Source organism: Homo sapiens, chromosome 5, assembly GCF_000001405.40.
Source record: "Homo sapiens chromosome 5, GRCh38.p14 Primary Assembly".
Classification (NCBI taxonomy): Eukaryota; Metazoa; Chordata; class Mammalia; order Primates; family Hominidae; genus Homo; species Homo sapiens.
The window spans coordinates 177,928,434-177,939,507 of record NC_000005.10 but is presented as its reverse complement, the minus strand read 5'-3'; the positions used below and the strand labels follow the sequence as shown (position 1 = coordinate 177,939,507).

Sequence of the window (11,074 nt, the reverse complement as noted above, 5' to 3'; positions counted from 1 at the left end):
CAAGGCGGCGGGTGGGAGTGGGCACGGGCCGGGCTTAGCTAGGAGCGGGGCACGGATAGGAGTGGCGCACGCGTAGGAGCGGGGCGCGGGCAGGTACAGAACGCGGGCAGCAGGACGCGGAGGGGAGCGGGGCGCGGGCTGGCAGAGGTCAGAACAGGACGCGGTAGCAGCGGGGCTCCACTAAGCAGGGATAGGAGCGTGGGGCGGTAGCTGCCAGACAGGCGGGTGCTGGAAAGGCCACCAGTATCCTGGGTCAGCGCACCTCTGCAAGCACAGCCGCTCCTTTCAAACAGGTGCGCCCTTTCCACTGCACAGCGGGCAAGGAAACCAGGTGGGGATGCAAGATCTGGTACTGCTGGGGTTGCTGGGGTTGCGACCCAGAGGACTCTGAGAACAACACCCTCTCCCCAACCCCCCATCCCTACCCCAGCTCCAGGCTCCCCAGCAGCGCACCCCCGCAGCGCACCCCCAGCCATTTCTCAGAGGCAGAGGCACAGTGTAGCTGGGCCTCTGCATGGCCAAAGGTGGGAGGAGGGGAGGAGCTGGTTAGGGAGAGGGAAGGAGAGCCTTCGTCAGCATCCAGGGCAGTGCAGAGGGTGGGGGTCCTGGAGGCCTGGCCAAGAAGAAATGTAACCAGTTGTGGAAAAACAGGAGTTAGAGAGCAGGGAGGCAAAGGCGTTGGTCAACAGACACCAGGTGGCTGAGGCACTCCGGAGGGCTGAGGGGCAGGCCTCTCACTATCAGGCCCAGAGCTCTAGCTCGTAAGTTTCAGCTCCCTACTGTTCTCTGGGAGGTTTCCCAAGAAAACTCCACTGAGACAAATGTAACTTTCTTTAAGGCTGGGATGATCAATTTCTATGTTTATTCAAAGCCGCAGCAAACTTTTTCTATGGGAGAATTTGGCCACTTTCAGCCTCATGGGGGGGAGTGTGGAGGGGGTGGCCTTCCCCCTTCTACACAGGGGAAGTGGGATGTGGGACTGGCAGCCTAGGAGAGCCAGCAGCAGAGAGGAACTGGAGCCCCAAAGAATCCAATTTTCCCCCAAATAAATGATGCCCAGGATCACATTCACCTCTAATAACGGGAAGCCACTGGACCTGTGCTGGGGGGTCCTGGGGTGAGCCTACGACCCGGGGCTTATACCCAGCGCCTAGGACCCGGGGCTTACACCCAGAGCCTAGGACCCGGGGCTTACACCCACAGCCTAGGACCCGGGGCTTACACCCAGAGCCTAGGACCCGGGGCTTACACCCAGAGCCTAGGACCCGGGGCTTACACCCAGAGCCTAGGACCCGGGGCTTACACCCAGAGCCTAGGACCCGGGGCTTACACCCAGAGCCTAGGACTTGGGGCTTATACCCAGAGCCTAGGACCCGGGGCTTATACCCAGAGCCTAGGACCCGGGGCTTATACCCAGAGCCTAGGATTTGGGGCTTATACCCAGAGCCTAGGACTTGGGGCTTATACACAGAGCCAAGGACGTGGGGCTTATACCCAGAGCCTAGGAAACAAAGCTTATACCCAGAGCCTAGGATATGGAGCTTATACCCAAAGACTAAAACACAAGGCTTATACCCAGAGCCGAGGACACAAGGCTTATATCCAGAGTTTAGGACCCGGGTCTTATACACGGAGCCTAGGACATTGGGCTTGTACTCAGAGCCTAGGACATGTAGCTTATATCCAGAGCCTAGGAAACACAAGTCTTATACCCAGAAAAAACGTGAGGCTTATACCCAGAGCCTAGGACCCAGGGCTTATACACTACTTATATTCTACTTTTAGTAGAGACGGAGTTTCACCATGTTGGCCAGGCTGGTCTTGAACTCCTGACCTCACATGATCCACCCGCCTCGGCCTCCCAAATGCTGGGATTACAGGCATGAGCCACTGTGCCTGGCCTAGAACTGCAAAATTTAATTCAAGAAAATATAGGTCCTATGAAAGATTTAAGTTTTATAAAGCTAAAATCTAGTGTTTTCTGGTAAATTGCACTTTAGCCAAAACTCTCCCAATGCTTCTAAAATAATACTAAAAGGGGCATCTGGTAATACAGGAGCAATTTTTTTTTTTTTTTTTTTTTTTGAGATGGAGTCTCACTCTGTCGCCCAGGCTGGAGTGCAGTGGCATGATCTCAGCTCACTGCAACCTCTGCCACCCGGGTTTAAGTGATTCTTCTGCCTCAGCCTCCTGAGTAGCTGGGATTACAGGTGCCCACCACCATGGCCAACTAATCTTTGTATTTTTAGTAGAGACGAGGTTTCACCATGCTGGCCAGGCTGGTCTCAAACTCCTGACCTCAGGTGATCCACCAGCCTCAGCCTCCCAAAATGCTGGGATTACAGGCATGAGCCACTGTACCCAGCCATACAGTACAGAAGCAAGTTTAAAAATTAAATATTTATTTGAATAACAAGCTTACATTGGAGCTGCAATGTTGGCAATGCAGATTTTGAACACGGATCACAAAAAGCATGCATAAAATCCTACTGGCCCAGAGAACAAACCACTGCTCAGAATTAGGCTAAATAGCTGCTGCTTTTAAGAAAATAAAAGGCCTGAAATCAATATACAACATTTTTTAAAATGTATTGGCTGGGCGGGTGCCTGTAATTCCAGCACTTTGGGAGGCCAAGATAGGAGGATCACCTGAGGTCAGGAGTTCAAGACCAGCCTGGCCAACATGGTGAAACTCCGTCTCTACTAAAAATAAAAAATTAGCTGGGTGTGGTGACACATGCCTGTAGTCCCAGCTCAGCAATTAAAGGCTAACGTGAAAGCCAGAGGCCCTTCTGTTGGCGTTTAAAGAGGCTCTCATCTGCACCAGGAGGACGGAGAAAGCAGAAACCAGGCTCAGGATCCACAGAAGATGCAACTCCAACCAAGGCAGGTCTACTGTGCCAAGGCCAGGGCCCTGGTTAGAAGAGAGCGCAACCCTGTGGCCTGACACAGTGGCTCACGCTTGTAATCTCAGCACTTTGGGAGGCCGAGGTGGGTGGATCACGAGGTCAAGAGTTAGAAACCAGCCTGGCCAACGTGGTGAATCCCTGTATCTACTAAAAATATGAAAAACCAGCCTGGCCAACATGGTGAATCCCTGTCTCTATTAAAAATATGAAAATTAGCCAAGTGTGGTGGCATGCACCTGTAATCCCAGCTACTCAGGAGGCTGAGGCAGGAGAATCACTTGAATCCGGGAGGCGGAGGTTCCAGTGAGCTGAGATCGCACCACTGTACTCCAGCCTGGGTGACATAGCGACACTCTGTCCCCCTACCCCTTGCCAAAAAAAAAAAAAAAAGGAGAGAGAGAGAGAGAGAGTACAACTCTGACACACAGGCTGGGAACATTTAGGTTGAGGTCTCTACAAACGATGGACTCTCTATATCCCCACTGAGCCCTCTGAGCTGGCAGGAATGCCGCCCCTGCCGCTAAGGGCTGGCACTCCCTCCCTCCTTGCCTGGACACTGTGCAGAGGCCTCTCCCCAGCCAGACAACACGTCCCCGGCTCAGGCTCTGCCTTGTCTGTCCTCCTGGTCATTAGGCCAATGACTAGGATGAAGTCACAACAGCAACCAGCTGTGGGCATGTTGAGCCTGGTGAGGAAAGATGGGGCTATACCCCAAAGGAGCTGTAGGACCTACCCAGCACAGGTCTGCAGGAACATGGGACTGGAATCCAAGGGTGTCTGGTCAAGGAGGTCAGAAGGTAAGGTTAGATAAGGGAGTATTTATCAACTTGGGAGAACTCTCCCAGGATACAGGATTTAATACTCTCACCAGTGTCCCAGGAGATGGTGCAAACTCACTGCAGATGATTCCTAGAAACATGGGAAAAAGCAGCGGCCAGCATGAAGTGAGAACTGCTGGAGCAGACGGTAGGCCCTTGGCACTTAGGCTCAGAGAGGTGGGCCCACCAGAGGAGGTGTGCCATGTAAGGCTGGAACTCCCAGAGGCCTGTGCTGCACACAGGACCCAGATGATAACCCACTTACCAAGGCTGTTAGGAATGGATCACTTAGAAATTCAGTGATGGCTCCTCTCTGGGGACCAGGGCTGGCAGGAGGAATTGCCACTGTACAACCAGGCTTACTCACAGAAATGATCCCAAGGACCTTGGAAAACTAGAAGCCATCTACCTTAGTGCTGCTGTAACAAAATGCCATAGGCTGGGTGGCTTATAAAGAAATTCATTTCTAACAGTTCTGGAGGCCGGGAAGTCCAAGATCAAAGTAGATTTGGTGTCTGCTGAAGGCCCACTTTCTGGCTCATAGATGGTGCCTTCTCACTGTGTCCTCAGAGTGTAGAACAGGCAGGGCAGCATGCTGGGACATCTTTTCATTAGGGCACTAGTCCCATTCATGAGGCTCCACCTTCATGACCCAATCGCCTTCCAAAGGCCCCACCTCCTGATACCCTCACATTGGTGGTCAGGTTTCAACGTATGAATTTTGGGGAGACACCAACATTCAGACCATGGCACCATCAGAAGGCAGGAAGATGTCATTGTGGTGAGTGGTAGGGTAGAGAGGAGGCCAGGGGAGCCTGACCTACAGAGACCTGTGGAGTGAATAGAACTTGGCACCCCTAGGGGCCACATAGATATGGAGCCAACAAGGATACTACTGTATCTGCATAATCAAAAACAGCACGGATGGATGGCTGGGAAGCTAAGGACAGTCACCTTAATTTAAAAAAAAGTAAAAATCCCTTCCCCAATGTCCATCCCTGAGCAAGTTCTTGGACGTGGAAACTTGATTGACAGAAAGCCTATGTCCCCAGGAGGAAGAACCCCATGACTGCACACAGCGAGGATTCCTCCATTTCTTCCCAACGTTACTCAGGTAACTGTGTACTGGGGAAGGGGAAACCCAGAGCATTAGCATGGCCCCTCCTAAGGGAGCCAGGTGATAAATGGAGTTCTAGCTTAGGTCCAGCTCACCCACAGTCCAAGGTCCCACCCTCAGTGGTCTCCAAATGTATAACTGTAATTGACATACTTAGTAATTGACACAAGCCCTTTATCCTGTGAGGTAAGAGCTATCATAGTGGGGAAATCCAAGTGGAAGCCTCTGAAACTCCCCCTTCTGGCCAAGATAGCAAATAAAAAGCAGTATTACATCCCAGGGGATGGCAAAGATGAGTGCTGTTCTTAAAGATCTAAAAGATGCATGGATGATCATTCCTATTATAGTCCCATTTAATTCACCAGTCTGTTCCCCATGGAAACTACCAGAAGTGCAACAACTAGTAGCCCCATTGCAGCTTCCTTGCTAGGTGTGGTATTGCTGCTAGAGAAGATTAATATGAATTCAGGGAGCCAGGCGAAATGGCTCATGCCTACAGTCCCAGCATTTGGGAGGCTGAGGTTGGTGGATCATTTGAAGTCAGGAGTTTGAGACCAGCTTGGTCAACATGATAAACCCCATCTCTATTAAAAATAACAAAAACTGGCCAGGCATGGTGGCTCACGCCTGTAATCCCAGCTACTCAGGAGGCTGAGGCAGGAGAATCACTTCACCTGGGAGGCAAAGGTTGTGTGAGCCAAGATCACGCCCCACTGCACTCCAGCCTGGGTGACAGAGTGAGATTCCATCTCAAAAAAAATTGAATTCAGGTACATGTTATGAAGCCATTAATCTGGTGAATATGCTCATTTCCATCTCAATCAAGAAAGAGAATCAGAAAGAGTTCACATTCACATGGAAGGGACAACAGTATACATTCACAACTTTCATCAGAGCTCTGTCATGACCATCCAAAAAGATCTGGATCATCGGACATCCTGCAGAACATCACACTGATCCAGTACACTGATGTCATCATGCTGATCAGGCAGATAGACAAGCGGTACCTAGCATGCTGGAAGCCAAAGGGTGAGAGAGAAAACTACTGAAGATCGAGAGGCCACCACATTAGTAAAATTTCTAGGAATTCAATGGTCTGGTGAATACTGGGACATACCTACAAAGCAAAGATAAATTATTTAATCTTTTACCTCCCACCATGAAGAAGAAATCCTAACACCTGATAGGTAGATCTGGAGGCAACATATTTCATAGCTAGGAATACTGCTCCAACCCCATATGCCAATGCCATGAAAGGCTGCCAAGGCCCAGAGCAAGAAAGGATTCTGCAAAAGTGTCAGGCTGCTGGAGCCATCAACCCCATCCCTTGAGCCATACAGTACTCAGCAGACCCTATGGTGTCAGCCATGTGAGTGATAGGAAGAGATGCCAGTGAAGAATGCAAGCTCCAGTGGGAGAATCCCTTAGGATCTGGAGACTCCCTAAAATTTGGGAGTGAATTACAATTAGCAGCAAAGGATTATTCACCTTCTGAAAACAGGTCCTGGTGTGCCTGTGCTACTAGCCCTCATGTGACACACAACACCCAGACATGAGACACCGAGTGATCAGGCAGCTGGAACTGCCTGTCATGAGCTGGGTCTGCCAGACCCAATCAATCAATCTAACATGGTGGGGACATCCCGGGTCAAACATGAGCACGCCTTGAGGACACCAGCAAGCTACACGGCAGGTAGCCCAGACCCCACATCATCCCCACTGAGGCACCAGCAGCCTCAGCTCATTCGAATGGCCACATGGGGGACTCCCATGTCACCAGCTGAAGAGGATAAAACTGAGATTGGTTTGGCTTGGCATGTGGCAGATGACTACATTGGACCCTCTCCTGAAAGATCAGGAATAGAGACCAGTTCCAGATAGAGATTTGCCTTTCCTGCCCATGGATTCTCTGCTCAAGGGTCTATGAAGTGTTTGATTCACTGGCACAGGATGCCACATAACATCACTTCTGACTCAACAGCCCATCTTATAGCAATAACCCTGCAGGGGCGGGAGTGGGCTGGCCCATGACCAGGGATCCACTGTTAATACTGCACACCACATGACCCCAAAGCTGCTGGCCCGATGAAGACAGAGCTGCAATGCCAGTTCAGAAACAAGCCTTCACAAGGTTTCAGTACCATCCTCCAAGATGCAGTATCACTTCAAATCAAATACTATATATGGCACTGCATCCCCACTGGGCAGAATACACGGGTCTAGGAACCTAGGGGTAGAAGCTTAAGTGGCCCAGTGGCCCACTTAAAGAATTTGTGCTTTCTGTCCCTCAACTCTGGGTTCCGTAAGTTTAGAGGTCCTTGTTCCCAAAGAGAAAATACTTCTGCAAGGTGGCACAGCCAGAGTCCCTCAAAGTCGAAGCACAGTCGCCTCCTTGGCACTCTGGGTTTCTTGTCCTTGCATCAAGGGGCCAGCGGTAAGAAGAGGAGTCGCATCCTGGCATCCAGAAGCGGTTGCATATGGGGTCTGGGAGGAATATGTTTGACATCCAGGCGATGCCCTTGGGTGCTTCTTGGTACTCCCTTGCCCAATTTTGATGTTAAGTTGACAAGTGTAGCAACCCTGGCCTGAAAATAGCATGGTGACCAGGGTCTCAGTTCCCTCAGGTAATCAGGAGACCAACAGAGATGTCGTCTGAGAGTGAGGTGGTCTATAATGGGTAGTGGAGTGGGCAGGTGAGGATGTCAGTTGCAGCCCTGAGACCCCAAAACTTCAGAGGTAGGGGTTGGAGTTCATCCCAGTAATTTTCCTCTTCAAGTTGCCTCCTAGAAGAGCTTCTCGCAGAACTTACATGAAGTGGATCCAAGAGGTGACTGTGAAGGACTCTGTAAGGTGCCACCCAGGTCCCTCTGCAGGAATAAAGGACTTATTACCCCAGCTGCTGGGAGTACTGCCTGCAGAAAGTTGACAGCCCTCATGCTCCATTCCCAGGGAGGCCTACATCCAATGACCCAATGTGGGGTCCCTGGCACCAATGTGGGGTGCCAAGTACCCGAACTTTTGCTTTGACTCGGGACAGTCCTGAGGGGTCATCCCATCCTCAGGCCAGCTGAGGCTTCTGCTGAGATAGCATCATAGGTCAGCCTCCCCCTTTGCCCAGCCTGCTCCTCCCCGCTCCCTTCCAATGGTATTGACTTCAGGAGCACTGGCCAATGAGCCCCAACACACTTCATCTCAGAGACCTGCCCAAGCTCATACTTAGACCTGAAGTGGCAGAAACAAACCTCAGACTCACTGTGGCTGTCCAAAGCCCAGAGATTGGAAAGGTTAGCACGTGCAGGACTCAGAAGTGAGAAACAGAGCAGATACCTTGGATGCAATGAAGATTTGAACTCCATACAAGGAATGATAGTCTAATTACCTTAGGCTGCTTGTGATGTTGCTCAGTTTCTGCTCACAGGATGGGGAAGGGGAGATATTCCAGAAGAACAGAGCAGCCCCCTCACCCATCTCAGGCTTGGGGGTCATTCAGATCTGAGAATGTCAGAGCTTTCACTTCCTAGCTGTGGGGCCTTGAGCAAACCGCTCCACCTCCCTGAGCCTCAGTTTCCCCCACTCCAAACTGGAGCCAATAAGATGCACCTGTGATTCTTGCGTAGATCACATTTGCAGGGCTCCTCGTGCACAGAAATCTCTCGGTAAATGTGGCCATTATTATTCAAGAGCCGAGGAGCTAATTAGCTTCACTGCTGATGCAACAGGAATTCACAGTGCGGGGACTGGCCTGCCGAAGGGAGGACGAGGCTGGAACATCTCATTTTGACAAATGGCTTTTGTTTACCCACGACTGGCAAACAAACGCTCCACGACGTGCGGCTAATCACCTAAAAATAACAGCACATATGTTCCCTCTGAGGAGTGTTCCTTGCTAACAAGCACAGCGGCCGTGGGCTGCTGGGGGTGGGGTGGGGACACCCTGCACTCCTCTGAGGCAAATTCAAAAGCCTCTCTCTCTGCCCCCAGCCGTCCTCCTGCACCCCACATCCATCCTGCTGCCCAGCCCTGTCCGCAGCGCCACACACAAACCACCCTCCCTTGTGTCTCCCTGCACCACCCCCCACCAAGTCCCCGGCTGCTGTGCTGGGGCAGGGCTGGTGCCACAGTCCCCTTTCTGCCCTCCTGGCCTTGCTCCATCCCCTCCACCCTGCCCCGGAGGCACCCTTCTAAAACACACACATCTGACTAGTCACTCCCCTTCTTGGAACTCCTCATGGCTCTCTCTGCCTCCAGGCCATGCCGGTCTCATTTCCCACACTACATGGGCCTGACTATCAGTGTGCACCAGGGCCTTCCAGCCTCCAGGCCTCTGCAGATGTTGGAGTAGGGCTGCTTCTCTACCTACACACCTCCTCTGCCCTCGGGCAGGTGCTCAGCTCTAAATGACATCCAAGCTGATGACGAATGAATGAGTTCTCTCTGAACTCCTGCCCACTGCATGTCTCCTCCTGGTTGTCCAGTGGGCATCTCTGAACCGTGTCCAAAAGCACACGCAAACACACACACACAATCCTCCTGCAATCTTATCGGTTGCTCAGGCCAAAAGCCTTGGAGTCCTCCATGTCCCCCACCTGCCATCCCACAACCAACCCATTAGCAAATGGGGTCAGCTGTCTTCAAAACACATGCAGACTCCCCTCAGCACCTGCACACTGCCTCCTGGAGCCTCCATCCCACCTCTCACCTCCAGCGGCTCCCCCCCTTGCCAGCCACAGTCCGCTCACGCCCCAGGACCCTTTAAAACTGGTCACGCCCCGTCTCTCCTGCACCCCAAAGCTTCCAGTGACTTCCATCTCAGAGTAAAGCCAAAGTCTTGTAGAGGCCACAGCTAGGGTGGCCAGATTTCACAAACAAAAAGGCAGGATGCCCGTTAGGTTTGAATTTCAAGGACATGTTAAGTGAAATAAGCCAGACACAGAAAAACAAATACCACGTGATCTCACATGGACAGGCGAACTCTGAAAAAGCCAAATTCATTGAAGCAGAAAGTAGAATGGTGGTTACCAGAGGCTGGCGGACAGGGAGTGAGAATTGGGGAGCTGTGGGTCAAAGGACACAAAGTTCCAGTTAGGGAGAATAAGTGAAAGAGCCCCATGGTACGTCGTGGCAGCATAGCTAATGACAGTGTACTGCATTCTTGAAAATCGCTAAGAGTAGATTTTAAGTGTTCTCACCACAGGAAAAAAAAAAACAAGGTGGAAAGTAATGCATATGTTAATTAGCTCAATTTAGTCATCCCATAAATGTATACATATTCCAAAACATCATATTGTAGGCCATAAGAATATGCAATTTTTATTGGTCAATTAAAACAATGTTTTAAAAAGAAGAAAGGGATATTAGGAACTAAAAATCTTTTTTTGAATTTCAGAGAAAGGCAAACTTGCGTGGGACACACTTATACTAAAAAATTATTTGCTGCTTATCTGAAATTCCAGTGTAACTGGGCATCCTGTAATTTTCCAGCAGCCAGACCTACAAAGCCTGAGATGACCGGGGACACCCCCGCACCCCATCGTACCTCACGCCCCCCACCTCCCCTGCAGCTTGGGTGTCCTGCTTTTCCCGGAGCCCAGAGAGAGTTCCTCCACTTCAGGAATGCGTCCTGCCATCCCCTCTGCTCCTGGTATCCCTGTGGGCCACTCCCCTGGCCCCTGCAGATCTCTGCCCAGATGGCATCTCTCGCCGAGGCCTGTCCTGACCAGCCGGTACAAAACAGCAGCCCTGTCACCGCCCCTTCACCGCTCGGTGGCTTCTATGACCTTCCACCAGAAAGCCGTCTCCTTGAAGGCAGAGTTTCATCTCTGCTGTCCACAGCTGTGTCCCCACACTGACGACAGTGCCTGGCATGTAGTAGTTAGTCAATAAATATTTTTCAAATAAATGATGTCCCTACTGCCCCACCCCAGGCCACCGGCAAACTCCTTAAACCACAAGGACAGCTTTGTGGCCTCTCCTCTGCAAAGCTCTCCCTGACCACACGCGTGTCCTCCAGGCAGGAAGAGCCTCCTCACTAGCCGAAGAGTCCCTCCGAGGTAGCGATGGTGTCCCATCCACCTTTCTATCCCCAGTGCCACATCGATGCCAATGTGAGAGGTGCTCGGTACACGTGTGAGTGGATGACTCAATGAATGAATATCTGAGTGAGTGAAGAAATGAAGAGCATAGGAACCAAGCAAAACTATCTCTAAGGCTCCCTGCGGGAGCTGGTTTGA

General features: G+C 51.4%; 1 long non-coding RNA gene across 1 annotated transcript, besides 1 other annotated feature; it reads left to right on the top strand.

Annotated features, from left to right (window-relative positions):
* LOC124901146 (uncharacterized) lies at positions 38-10,387 on the top strand. The gene is made up of 3 exons (XR_007059075.1): positions 38-93; positions 4,780-4,841; positions 10,326-10,387. It is a non-coding gene; the product is annotated as an uncharacterized LOC124901146 (long non-coding RNA).
* Positions 8,379-9,186: an enhancer, noted in NCBI's record as "H3K27ac-H3K4me1 hESC enhancer chr5:177357323-177358130 (GRCh37/hg19 assembly coordinates)". NCBI's record gives its function as "activates a minimal SCP1, AML or CMV promoter by ChIP-STARR-seq in naive H9 embryonic stem cells {active_cell/tissue: H9 hESC(naive)}" and the evidence as "EXISTENCE:reporter gene assay evidence [ECO:0000049][PMID:30033119]".
* Positions 10,388-11,074: the final 687 nt, after the last annotated feature.